The sequence below is a fragment of the Homo sapiens genome, chromosome 6 (assembly GCF_000001405.40).
Source record: "Homo sapiens chromosome 6, GRCh38.p14 Primary Assembly".
Taxonomy (NCBI): Eukaryota; Metazoa; Chordata; class Mammalia; order Primates; family Hominidae; genus Homo; species Homo sapiens.
Window position 1 is genome coordinate 106,236,421 of NC_000006.12, and position 14,837 is coordinate 106,251,257.

The window sequence follows — 14,837 nt, forward strand, 5'->3', positions numbered from 1 at the left end:
GATTTGTACCATTTTACACTCCTACTAATAATGTATGAGAGTTATATTTGCTCCACAGCCTTTTTACTACTTTGTTAATCTTTTTAGTACTGTCAACCTTTTTAATTTATCCAATCTAGGGAACGTGAAGTAGTATCTCACTGTTATTTTCATTTTCCTGATGAGTAACAATATCGTGTATCTTTTCATGTGCTTATTAGCCATTCCTATATCTTTTGTGAAATAGTTAACTTAAATTTGTAACTAAAGGTGCTTTCCTGAGTTTCAGGTAGTAAGCCTATTTCCCTCAAGTGAATAAACTACAGTCTTGGAATGAAAAATTAAACACAGTGGAGACATTTTTTGTATAAGTTGTTTTACTCTGTGTATGTCTGGTTTGCTTAGTCTATTATTATATGCCCCATGAAAGCAAACACAGTGCTTATTTCACTAATGAGTATCACTAGCACATAGAACTGTGCTTGCCCAAAGCATGAACTCAATAAATATGTTAATGTGTATGCATGCACATACATCTACATGCATGTACATCTATACACACATATAAACATATATTAATTTTTAGACCCACAAATCTAAGAAAACTAATTCTTGAGCCTCTGGTTTGAAGAATTCTCAAATTATTAACATATCTTTATGTTCCACTCCACATCCACTGTACCTGAAATAGCCCTACTGTTCTACTTTGGTAAATCAGGCAAATTTAATTTTTTAAATAATTAAGATTCCAACTAATTTTAAAATATAATTTGAAAGTTAACAATGAAATACATTACATAAAAAGAAAATTTTAAATAAAAGCAAAACTAAACCCAATAAGAGGAAAGAAAGTTGGGCTGTATTTCTTTAATCCTTTAAAATTCAAATCACACAATGCTCCAATGAAATCTTCATTAACTGAACCAAACTATGCCCATGAAAGATCTCATATGCAACTGCTAAAACCTCAATAAACATATTCATCTTCTTGCAAAAAAGATATTTCTTTATAATATGCACATGCAGTATATACTATTTTGAGGCAGATTTGTACTTTAGTCCTTGTTCCATTGCTTACCGGCTGGCTGTCCTTTGTCTGGTCATTGACCTCCAACTTAAAAAATAATACTTGCCTTGTCTACCCCACAGAAGTGTTATGAAAGTCAAACAAGGTAGCATAAAGGTATTTTACAAGATATAAAGTGCTATAATACAGATTTTAAAAATCACTCTACATCCCATAATACTTTGTTGTACAATTTTAGAGCAATAGTAGAAAATAACAATTATTGCCTAATTGAAAATCCAGTCCCGAATTCCATAAAATGTATGATATGAACATTATAGTACATCATATTACGAGCCCCAAATAATCACTGCTTATATAGTTGGTTAGGATTTCCTTAGTTTGTTCATATAGTTTATATATTTATGCAGTCCCTATTTTGTGAGAGGCATTGTGAGGAGCATAAAGACATAAGCACAGTACAGAGCCTTAGCTTCTCTACATTTACTAAAGAAGACTTCTTCTTGGGTATTTAATCAATATTTAAAGTATTCTGGGAAGAAATGAAATTAACTTCATAGACTGACCTTAGATTACTATCATTACAAAAAGATGCCTGAGTGATCTGTCTTTAACATACCAGTATTTATCTTATAACTGTTATATTTACTTGAATCAGAAGTGAAGTCCTTTTAAGCACTAAGCATCCATTCTATACTTTCTTGTCTTTACATATGAGATACAAATCATATTTTTAAAACTTTTATTTACTTTTATTTTTTAGAGACGGAGTCTTGCTCTGTAGCCCAGGCTGGAGTACAGTGGCATGATCTTGGCTCACCACAATCTCCACCTCCACTTCCCAGGGTTCAAGTGAACAAATCATACTTTTAAGCACAGATTCTCAACATGTATCCTAGCATGCTACTGCCATAACTAGGGTGTGAATTAAGTATTAAAGACAGCTTACCCCAAATATTACTGTAACATATATCTCTAAATGAAAAAGAACATATTAACAACTATACTTGGATGGGATTCTGGGAGCTAACCCATCCCTCTCTCCCCTTTCCTCCAAATTCCATCTCCTATTAACACACCAGCTCTCCTGAGCTAAGCAGCTCCTGGGGTTGGGGAAGGGTGTACATGGAGAAAGCTAGAACCTCTACAGTGTTTTCCTCTCTGGGAGGAACTAGCAGGCATACGAACAGAAAAAGCTGAATAAAAGGCTGAATCCTTTCTATTCCTGAGGCAGACAGAGAGAAGACCAGGGAACAAAGAGACTTCGACCAAGAGCCCTGCCAGGTATTGATACCTTTGATACTGAGAAAATATCTGGGATATGAAATACAAATGCTAAATAAGTATCTTTGAAATAGGGGTAAAAGAATAAAGGGTCTTGATGAGTAAAATGGGTAGTATTTTTTAATAACCTGATAATGAGCTTTAGGAAAAGGGAAGGTCAACGTTATGGAATGAAAACACAGAGGTACCAAATTTAAAAGCATAAAAAAAAGTGGAGGGGGGGAACCCAATAACTTCATCAAACTAGCAAATAACTTAGTATCATTTCTAATTAGAAACGCTAGAAGGAAATCACTTAGATCTGATAAAGACTAGGCTATAATTCTAACTGATGAAACACTTAAACTGTATCAATTAATACCAGAAAACAAACACAGAAAAGTCTACTAGAACCATCATTATTCAGCACAGTCTTGGTAATGCAATACTATAATAGCAATGCAATAAAGCAAGAAAAAAAAAAGTTTGTAAAAACACAATAGGATGAGATTTTTGTTTTTCCAATGCCATAAATAACTAGAAATGGAAACAAAATAAAGAAAAACAAAATCTACAAAACACCTGGAAATAAAAAGAAAAATGGTCTATTTGAAGAAAACCTTAAAATCTATGCAGAACATAAAACAAAATCTGAATAAAAAGAAATATCATGTTCTTGTCTGGGAAGACTTAATATCATAAGAAAGTGAATTATATCAAAATTTAAATCGAAATTTAATGTATTTCCATCTCTAATCAGACAGGACACTATGGGGAACTGAATAAGTGATTTTAAAAGTCATGGAAAATTAATAACTGAGAATAACCATGAAAAGTATGAAAAAAGGAGACAAATGAATTGCTCCAACAGATATCAGAACGCTAAAATTAAATAAAAATACTACTAGGATAAGAAAATACATATACTGATGTAATGAATAAAGAATCCAGAATTAGATTCCAGTAAGTCAAACTACTTTACTATAAACCAGGGGTGGCATATTCATCCAGTGGGAAAAGGACAGTAAGAAGTGAGTAAACTATGGCCCACTGGCCAAATTGTGGCCTCTGCCTATTTTTGCAAATAAAGTTTTACTGGGACAAAGCCAAGCCTATCATTTGCAAATTGTCTATAAATATTTTCATGTTACAGAATCACACAGTTTCAACAGAGACCATCTTGTCTACAAAGCTGAAAATATCTACTATCTGGCCCTTGAAGAAAGTTTGCCAAACCTTAGTTTATATAATAAAAGATCAGCTATCTCATAGACACCTATCTCACACAACACATTGTGGGAAAGGACCTTCTTTTTTTTTTGAGACGGGGTCTTGCTCTGTTGACCAGGCTGGACTGTAGTGGCATGATCATGGCTCACTGCAGCCTCAACCTCCCAGGTTCAAGTAATGCTCCCACCACAGAATCCCAAACAGCTGGGAGAGATGTGTGCCACTACGCCTGGCTAAGGGGCCTTTTTAACAGAGAAAGAAATCCACATACTACTAAGAAAAAGAAGGGCATATTTGATATATATTTATATTTTTTATATAGATATCATAAAAATCAAGATGAATTATACAGTTATATTTTGCAATGTGTTTGACGGTAAAAGTTTAATATCTATAAAAATTATTTTATAAAATATCTTTAATATATTTATAGATATTATAATATAAAATATCTATAAAATTATTTTATAAAATAAAAAGTTAAGAAGAAAAGATAGGCAAAACAAAATACAGTGCAATTTACAGAAAACCAAGTCCAAATGGTCAACAAAGATAAAACAGATTTATAAACTCACTAAGTGTGAGAGAATTATTAGTTAAAGTAAAAATATCTCTCTATACCCACAATACTACTAAAAATCAGAGTTATAATGCCCTATTGCTGGTGGAGATGTAAGGGGAGAAGCATGCTCTCATATACTGTTAGTGAAAATTTAAACTAATACATTTTTGAAAAGTAAGCTGGCAATTTTTTTTTTAATCTCTACCTTTTGATGCAAAAACTCATTTTTGGGTACCTATTCCATACCTTAAAAAAAATACATATGCTTACTGTAGTACTGTTTATAATGGTAAAAACTAGAAAAAAAGAAAACTTGATAGTGAATACTGAACAAATTACAGTGCATCTACAGATTAAACATAATGCAGCCATTAAAAAAGAATAAATTAGGCTGGGTGCGGTGGCTCATGCCCGTAATCCCAGCACTTTGGGAGGCCAAAGCAGGCGGATCACTTGAGGCCAGGAGTTCGAGACCAGCCTGGCCAACATGGCAAAACCCTGGCTCTACAAAAAATACAAAAATTAGTCGGGCATGGTGGTGGGCACCTGTAGTCCCAGCTACTCAGGAGGCTGAGGCAGGAGAATCACTTGAGCCTGGGAGACAGAGATTGCAGTGAGCCAAGATCATGCCACAGCATTCCAGTCCAGGTGACAGAACGAGACTCTGTCTCAACAAAAAGAACAAATTAAACCCTACAACTCATCAACAAAAATACCCAAACCCAATTCAAAAATGGGCAAAGGACTTGAATAGACATTTCTTCAAGGATGATAAACAAGCACATGAAAAGATGCAGAGCACTATTCATTAGTGATTACATCCCACATGCATTAGGATGGCTAGTATGAAGAACAGAAAATAATAAATATTGGTGAAGATCTGAAAAACAGAAACCTTTGTGCACTGTTGGTGGGAATGTAAAGTGGTACAGCTACTACGGAAAACAGTATGGCCATTCCTCAAGAAAATAAAAATAAAATTATCTTATGATAGGAATATGCATTTCTGGGTAAATACCCCAAATAACTGAAAACAGGGTGTACACCCATTTCAACATTTACATGTCAATTCAACTGGGCCAGAATACCCAGATATTTGTTCAAATATTCTTCTGGATGCTTCTATATATATGTTTTTTGGCTGAGGTTAACATTTAAATTGGTGGATTCTGAGTACAGCAGATTACCATCCACAATGTAGGTGGGCCTCATCTACTCAGTTGAAGGTCTTACAGAAAAAGACTGACCTCCCTTGAGCAAGAAAGAATTCAGGCAACAGACTGCCTTTGGACTCAACTGCAACTCTTCCTTGAGTCAACAGCCCATCCCATCACCCTGGCTTGGTGAGTCCAGGGTCTGATGAGGTAGGCTGCAGACTCAAGGAAGAGCTGCCAAAACCAGGAAAGCCAATTCATTAAAATAAATCTCTCTCTACACAAACACACACACACACTACCACCACCACCATGATGGTTCTGTTTCTCTGGAGAATGCTAATACACCCCTGTTCATGGCAGCATTATTCACAATAGCCAAAAGGTGGAAGCAACTCCAGCAGATGAATGGAGAAGCAAAATGTGGTATGTATATACAATGGAATATTATTAAGCCTTTAAAAAGTGGAAATTATATCTATCTATATCTATACACACATACTCACACACACACACACACATTTATAGAAGACAGGGTTTCACCATGTTGTCAAGGCTGGTCTCGAACTCCTGGGCTCAAGCAAACCGCCTGCCTCAGCTTCCCAAAGTGCTGAGATTACATGTGTGAGCCACCACACCCAGCCAAAAAAAGGACATTCTGACACATAATACAATATAGATAAACAATGAGGACATCATGATATGCGAAATAAGCCTGTCACAAAAAGGCAATTAGTGTATGATTCCTCTTGTATGAGGTACCTATGGATGTCAAATCCATAAAGTAGAATGGGGAAACAGAGAGTTGTTTAATGGGTATAGAGTTTGTTTTGCAAGAAGAAAAGAGTTTTGGAGAATGAATGTACAACAGTGTGAACATAATTAACACTACTGAAAATGGTTAAGATTATAAATTTTATGTTACATTTATTTTACCATGATTAAAAATTAAAACAAAATAATATTAAGGAAAAATACTATAAATAACAACAACAAAAAAAACACCTCAAGCAACTTACATTCACCTGGGAAACAGAATACATCCTATTCTGCTAGAGATATATCTGCAGTTCAAAATTTATTACAAATGATGTTGTGTATCTTTTTGAAATGACTGAAAAACTAAATTAAAAGCAATAATATTCAGTTTACTAACCAGTAAGTCCTTCTTTCATGGTTCCTGACTTTTCTGTAAGATGTTATTGCAAGATATCTACTAAAATGGAAAACAACTGAAAAGGCAAAATTATAATTTCTTATCAACATCGCTAAAACCCTGGAGGGGAAGAATCCTAACAAACATGGCCATAATTTGCCACATATTTCTACTGTCCTCACTTTTCAAAATCCAGAAATCAACATTTCTGGAAACAAAACAGAGTCTAAAATTTGGCTCCTTCTTCAGTTTAGAAGGTGCCAAGTTAATCCCTGACATCCTAGTTTCCATTTTCAAAAATGTACTTTTTCTCTCCCCAAACCGGTATCTAGATTCTTAAATATTTTTAGCACATAGAAGTTAAATAGATTTGCTTAACCAAAATAGCCAGTAAACCTCCCAAAAGAATTAAAATATTAATGGCGCTTTAATGATACAAATGAACAACTTTACATTCAATCGTCAATGGGAAAGGAAGCAGAATTCTGAGGATTATGAAAGTAAACAAAACGAAGTTCAAATTCTACTTTATTTTACTTTTTTGTAACTAATGAACAACTTCTTCCAAAGACAAGTAGGAAATACAAAAATTAGCCAGGCATGGCACATGCCTGTAGTCCTGGTTACTTGGAAGGCTGAAGTGGGTGGATCGCTTGAGCCGGGAAGGCAGAGGCTGTAGTGAGCTGAGATCACATCACTGCACTCAAGCCTGGGTGACAGAGCAAGACCCTCTCTGGGGAAAAAAAAAAAAAAAATAGGCTGGGCGCAGTGGCTCACACTTGTAATTCCAGCACTTTGGGAGGCTGAGGCAGGTGGTTCACCTGAGGTCAGGAGTTCTAGACCAGCCTGACCAATATGGTGAAACCCTGTCTCTACTAAAAATACAAAAATTAGCCAGGCATGGTGGTGGGCAATTGTAATCCTAGCTACTCGGGAGGCTGAGGCAGGAAAATCGCCTGAACCCAAGAGGCGGAGGTTTCAGTGAGCCGAGATTGCACTAGTGCACTCCAGCCTGGGCGACAGAGCAAGACTTCATCTCAAAATAAATAAATAAGTAAGTAAATAAAATTAAAAAATATATAAAAATAAAACAAAGATAAGTAGGAACCATCCTTTTTTTTTTTTTTTTTTTTTTTTTTTAAAGATAGGGTCTGTTTCTGATGCCCAGGCTTGAGTGTAGTGGCATGATCATGGCTCACTGCAACCTTGACCTCTCAAATACAAGTGACTCTCCTACCTCAGCCTCCCAAGTAGCTGGGACTACAGGTGCTTACCACCCCATCCGGCTCATTTAAAAAAATTTTTTTGTAGAGGTGGGGTCTCACTATGTTGTATCCAGGCTGGTCTCATTTTAACTTTATTAGAAAACAAGCATTGTTTTATCAGCTTCTTGTTTTTTTAAAACTAAAAATAACACTGCTAGGTTGTTTCTATGAAGATTCTCTAAATTTATTTATAACCTTAAGAATAACATGTAGAACAAAGTAGATGACTGAATGATCTTTGTTGAATAAATATGAATGGATATTCAAATAATTAAAAATCTCTTAAGATCTCCCATTCTTTACAGGATACAGAGAAAACTCGTTAATATGGCCTGACTTTTACCTTTGCAGCCTTATCCAAACTCTGTGGTCAAGACAAACAGGTTGTCCTTATACTTACAACGTCCCCCTTTGCCTACAAAGCTCTTCTCATGACTCTTTGCCTATCTTAAGTTCACCTATCTGTCAAATCTCTGGGAATGCAACATTTCCTCAAGGTAGCCTTCTCTCCTCCCAAACTAGAACAAATTCTTCCTGGGGCATTAGGTTTTTATTGCACTGTATGTCTCTTCTTCACAGCAATCACAGTTCCAATGTTATATTTGTATTCTTAGTTGATTTGTTTCTTTCCACCTTTAGACTATAACCTTCTAAGGGGTCACACATAATATCGATCATCAGTTGTATCCCTTGTGCATAGCACAGGGCATGGCAGGCAAATATGTGTGTAAATAAACTTGTTGAATGAATCAATGAGACACACTTTTCTTACCCAAAGTATAATGGCAGGATAACATTTATCAATCTATTGCTTCTTGAAAAACAGATATGATGTGCTTAATTTTCATTTTACATCTCAAATACCAATGCCTAAGGAATTCACAGTCATTTTACAAATCTTTTTGACAAATGCCTTCATTAATCACCACCTGTTTACAAGTGCTAAATAACATTTTGGTTACATTCTGTAACATTTCCTGCACTTAATGTCATCTCTAGAATACTGGCTAATATGAAGCACCTGGACTTCAGGAACACAAACCTGAAACTAACACACCAAACTAAACTGTTATGTAAATGACAGAAATGACACATTTTGGTCTGCAACATCTCTAGATGGCTTTTGGACCAATTCAACTTTTACCACTAAAAATCGGTCACCTGACTATAGTCATTTTGAGCTCATGATAAATGAATTACAGATGAAAAATAAATAGTTTGATGACAATCTTTACAAAAGTTTATCTTCAAAGAATACCACCAGTCACAGGTATTCTAGGCTCCTATCAACTTATTTGGTCAGGGCAGACTTCACTTTTCATGATAATTATGTTCTGAAAATTCTACAAACTTAATGATTACAAACAAAAGTCATAGTTTGCTCATAAATCAGGCCTAGGTCTGGATTCTAGTTCTTCCATTTTTCATTTGTTCACTGAGGCAAGTGACTTAAAATTCCCTAGCCTCAGTTTCCTCACATGTAAAATCAGATAATGATTCCTATTCCTAAGATGGTTTTGAGGCTTCAACAAGATAAGATGGGCCTCACTCAAGCATGCTCAGTACTCTGTCTCTCTCTCTCCGGTTATGCAGAAATTCTATTAGGATTCTGCAAAGTAAAATAAATATTTCAGTAAAAATTATGCCCTTTATTAATGAATCTAGATTTTCAGATTTTCCTTAAATTTACTTAGTAACTTAAGGGCTCAAATATTATAGAGATTTGTATCTAGTATTTTAAAGAAATGAAAGGTGTTAATCAAAATGCTGCACAAATAAATGCTACATTTAACAAACAGAATATCACAACCATACAAACTAATCAGATATAAAGAAGTCAGCAACAGAAATCTGATGTTGCCTTTAGATCACACAATTAGGCAAACAAAAATAGAGTTCCATCCTCCTTTGGTCAAGGCCATGGTTGAAGACTGAATACCAAATAGGGAAATAGGAAAAGCCAGGAAATGGCAAATTAGCAAAAACTGGACTCCTTAATTTTTATATTCATTTTCATATCTCACTTCTAAAACTTTAATTAAATTCAAATAAAAACCAAAATGGAACTGAGATAAAGCCAAAAGGAAAGTTATGTAGGTCAAATGAGAACCTATATTGTCCTTAGGCTCTTTGTTGCTTTCTGTTTAAGGAAAAACTGCCCAAGTGCCTTGACACATTAAAGATCAAGCAGGAGGTTCTGCCGAGAGTCCCCATCTGGCAGCCAGGTTTTGTCAAGCAAATTTTGAGAATTCTCTACCCTCCCACTTTCTATCTAATTATAGCACTTTATAAAAACCATTCTCTCTCTGTCTCTGTCTCTCTCTCTCTCTCTCTCTCACACACACACACACACACACACACACACACACACACACCCTTTCTCTCTCTCTCTCTCTGAAACTTATCTGTATTATAATAACACAACACTAGGTATGGATTAATCTGACAATTTTCCCCTAAAACAGAATAAATTCAAAAAGGAAAACCTTTCCTCTGTACACATGCACTATATTCTGACAATAATAATTCCTAAATTAAGTATAATACATTTTCCCTACAGGAGTTTAAAGAAGTTACAGTAAAGAATCTCTTGTATAAATATATATGCCAGAACTTGACCCAAATAAGTGCTGAGAGGTATAAATCTCAAAACAGTTTCCGGACTCTTTGTGAAATGTCTTCAGAGTCTGCGATATATTTTCTTCAACTAAATTATACAAGTAAGATATTTTGCTGGGCTGTGGGAATGCCTTACGGCATGTTACTGTGGAGCTCATGGTAAAATAGAAAGAATATAAATAATTAAAATAAAATTGACAAATGATAAATGATTTAATAAATTAGAAATTCAAATGCCGGGCACTTTTCTAGAACCTGGACACAAAGCATGAACCTAACAATAACCCCGCCTTCATGAAAAATATGGACTATTTGAAAATTATACCTGCAACACTAAATAAATATTCTTCATTCTTCCAGTATATTGAGATGTTTACTTTCAATTAGACAATTTGCTTTCCTCTCTGAACACATAGTTATGTGATGGCTCTATAAAAGATTTTAAAATAACTATAGAAGGAACTATTGGTAAAGACTGTGGGATACTAAAAATGGCTACAAAGAAAGTTATGACAAAACCTCTGAGTTTGAATGGAAGTCCTACTAGATTAGAGTCTAAGCCTGTGACATTATGCTTCTGGTTCTTGTTCTTAAATGCTTTTCTCATTAATAGTATGTAACTTACTTCCTGGAATGCCATTCATTAAAAAAATATTTAATATTTGCTAAATGTCAATATTTATGCCAGCACTTTTAAAGTACAGAAACATGGAGTTTCTTTACCTCATGCAAATATGCTGTGAGAAAGACTTAAGAGCCTATTGCCTACTTTGTGGTACAACACTGAAGACTCACCATCCAAAACAAACAGACTTAGTAAATTCTTGTGATTTGCAGTAGTTCTGTTCTATAAGGTTACCACAAACACTGAAATCATCGCTCCTGGGGGAATACAAGGTTATGTTTCCGTGAGCCCTCGGTCACAACATGTTCATTAACTGATCAATACATAACCTTGTTCTATGTGTGTTTCTGTTTAAAAAGAGCACTTCAGTGCTACATTTGGAGTCTGTTTTAAACAGCAAAATCACTAATAAAAAGCACAAAAATGTAAAAGCATGGCACTACATACACTGTGACAAGAAGGCTTGTTTATAGTATGACAGCTGAGACAAGAAGGTAGAGCCTCGCTTTGATCAACCTCTGCTGGGAAATGAGCATCAGGTGAATCAATTTTTCACCACTCTGAATGACCGTAAAAGTGCTCCAAGTACTGACTTTGGGGTTACACATAAATTTTAGTAAGCATGTGAATCTGCCAATATGAAATCTACAAATAATGAGTACCAAATGCATATGAGTCAAATATTTCAGTGCGGTATCTGACTTGATTGCCACTGAAAGACACAGTTTGGAAAACCCCTAATAAATACCGTTTAGTTACTATGCAGACAAAGAGTTCTACACTAGAGTGCTTCAATTAAGATGTCTGAGGCTTTCATAAATGGATGTTTTTTAAAATGTTATTTCCTACCTGATATATTCTAAAGGGGATATAACGAAATCCATTTTCTTCTGCAGGATATTCCATGAGTTTCCGATTGATGGCCCAAAACTGGTCAAATCTGTCTGTAATGATATAAATTATTTGTTATTAAAAATGAACAACATTATAATGGAATACCTCACATGAAGAGATGAAAGTTTTAAATATCCCTCTAGAAGTTTCTGAAAGGACATCACATATATTTTCTTATTTTTATTAAACTTATCTTTCCATAAACATAAAGCAAATATAAAATTAATTTTTTTCTACATTATTGCATCCTCTCCCTAGATATTCGCACAGCCATTTTTTTCTCATAAGAAAAACTGTAAACATATAAACATACGACTACTTGTGTTATCAAGGCAAAAAACACACCAGGTAGAGGATAGATGTCTTGACTCTCCTGGTACTACTTCTAATTGCTGAGCTACAAAGGTACAGCTTCAAGTAGCCTAAATGTTAACTAGAAGTTGTGTAAAGAAATAAAGTCGCAGGGTGCAGTGGCCCACGCCTGTAATCACAGCACTTTAGGAGGAGGCTGAGGCGGGCAGATCACCTGAGGTCAGGCGTTCCTGACCAGCCTGACCAACATGGAGAAACCCCGTCTCTATTAAAAATACAAAATTAGCCAGGCGTGGTGGTGCATGCCTGTATTCCCAGCTACTTGGGAGGCTGAGGCAGGAGAATTGCTTGAACCTGGGAGACAGAGGTTGTGGTGAGCCGAGATCACGCCATTGCACTCCAGCCTGGGCAACAAGAGCGAAACTCCGTCTCAAAAATAAAAATAAAAATAAAGTCAAAATACTGAACACAGTAAACATTAAATACCAAAGATTTTTTTAAAAAAGCTTTGAAAGAAACATGGAACTGGCACTTATGAAGTGCCAACTGCAGCTTAATCTCAGACCAATTAAGCTCTTTTTAAAAACTTTTCAATTTCAAATTTTTTAAATAAACAACTTGAGATATAATTTGCATACCATAAAATTCACCCCTTTTAAAGTATACAACTTAGTGGTTTTCAGTATATTCAGAGTTCAGAACATTTTCAGCATCCCAAAAAGAAACCTGTAACTATTAATAGTCACTTCCCACTCCCCCTTGCCCCAGCCCCTGAAAAATCACTACTTTCTATCTCTATAGTTTGCCTATTCCAGACATTTCATATAAATGAAGTAATATAATATGTGGTTCTTTTGCATCTGGGTTTTTCGCTTGGCATAATATTTTTGGTGTCCATTCATGTTGTAGTATGTATCAGAACTTCATTTGCTTTTACGGCTGAATAATATTCCATTATGTGGAGTTACCAGATTTTTGTTCTCTCAGTTGACTGACATTTAAGTAGTTTCCGCTTTTTATCTATTATAAATAATGCTACTATGAACATTTGTAAACACATTTTCGTGTGGACATATGTTTTCAGTTCTCTTGGGTATGTACCTAGGAGTAGAACTACTGGGTCATTAGGTAACTCTATTTAACTGATACATGGTAACTGTGTTTTGAGGAACTGCCATACTGTTTTCCAAAGTGAGTGTACTACCTTACATTTCCACCAGCAATGTATTTGGATTCCAATTAGTCCACATCCTTGCCAATGCTTGCTACTACTGGTCTTTTTAATTATAATCATTCTGGCAGGCATCAAGAAGTATCTCATTGTGGTTTTGATTTGCATTTCCTTAATGACTATGCTGAGCATCTTCTCATGTGCTCAATGGCCATTTGTGCATCTTTGCAGAAATGCCTATCAAATCACTTTCCCTTTTAAACCAGTTGTCTTTTTATTGTTGAGTTATAAGAGTTCTTTATAAATTCTGAATACAAACCCCTTATCTATGACTCACATATTTTCTCCCGTTCTGTACATTGTTTTTTAAGCAACTCCTTTTTTTTTAACTCACCCAGAATCCCACCTTATAATAAAATATTTTATATTCAGAAATTTGTATCAAAATCTTATCTCTATAAAGCAAGGAAATACATCCAGAATTACAGTTCAGCTTGGTATTTTTCTATTACTAGACCTGTTTGAATCCAATCTACTGGCAATCTATTGATTCTGCTTAAACCATCCTAACTGTATATTTTTAAAAAATTTCTTCTTACACCCCTGTCCTAAAAGACTGTGACAGGCTTTAGGCCTTCCTTACTCTAATCTTCAACTCCAATGTGAAGGAAGACTCGCAGTATATTAGAAATGGTGTGAGAGAAAATTCTGAATCCAGTAAGTCCAGCACAATTTCACAGATGATAACTAAGGCCCAGATTATTATATGTTTAATTAATAACCAAGACCAGAATCTTGGTCTTCCGATTCAAAGTCCCCAATTGCTTCAACAGTTGCTGCCACGAAACTTTATCTTAATGTGAAGAATACTACTTTGACATAGTCCTCTCACATATGAAGCAATTATTCTGTCAATGCTTAAAAAAGTGTCTTTCTACCATCAAGTATCAAGCAAGAATGTGACAGCTAAATATAATGATTCTTCATGCATACTTAAAATTTTACTTTGCTGCCTTGTCATGAAATCTCAAGCACCTAGCATGGTGCATGCATAGTATGTGCTCTTGAATCAAAGAATGGATAGAACACTATGAACATAATTTCTCATAAAAGTAAACTGGAAAAAGAAACATGATTGTGCCAGTTATCAATTGTATGACTCTCTTCTCCAAATTCACCCTTCAATATATGCATCGCTATATGGTCACAAATCCTTTAAGCATCTCTACTGCAACAACTATCTTAAGATTTCTCAGCAGAAAATGCTAAAAGAAGTTGTAGGAGAAACGGTTCTGCCCAATGTCCAGATACGCAAGTCTCTCAGCAAGGTGGCAGCAGGAGCCTGGCCCAGGGTTAACCAGCCCTCAAGACAGAATCTAGCACTCCAAAGGCTTCCTGCTTGCATAGGCACACTAATGGGCGCTTGCCCTTATCAACATCTCAATTTGCTTGCTCTGGAGGCCTGCATGGGCTGCCCATCTGTGGTTTCCCACCCAGCTGCCACTCCCTCTGCACAACCATGCCACATGTTGTTGATCACCTGCATTCCAGGTTGCCCTGACTGCCAATGTACTACATAC

General features: G+C 35.4%; 1 protein-coding gene across 10 annotated transcripts in view; it reads right to left on the reverse strand.

Annotated features, from left to right (window-relative positions):
* ATG5 (autophagy related 5) overlaps window positions 1-14,837 on the reverse strand; it is a 141,285-nt gene that overhangs the window by 51,945 nt on the left and 74,503 nt on the right. For 7 of the 10 annotated variants that reach the window (NM_001286111.2, NM_001286107.2, NM_004849.4 and 4 more), the window contains one exon: window positions 11,730-11,824. The exons of 2 other annotated variants lie outside the window; for them this stretch is intronic. In NM_001286111.2, coding sequence (NP_001273040.1) covers window positions 11,730-11,824 — 95 coding nt within the window. The remainder of the gene's footprint in view (window positions 1-11,729; window positions 11,825-14,837) is intronic. One more of the 10 variants, NM_001286108.2, reaches the window with a different exon arrangement.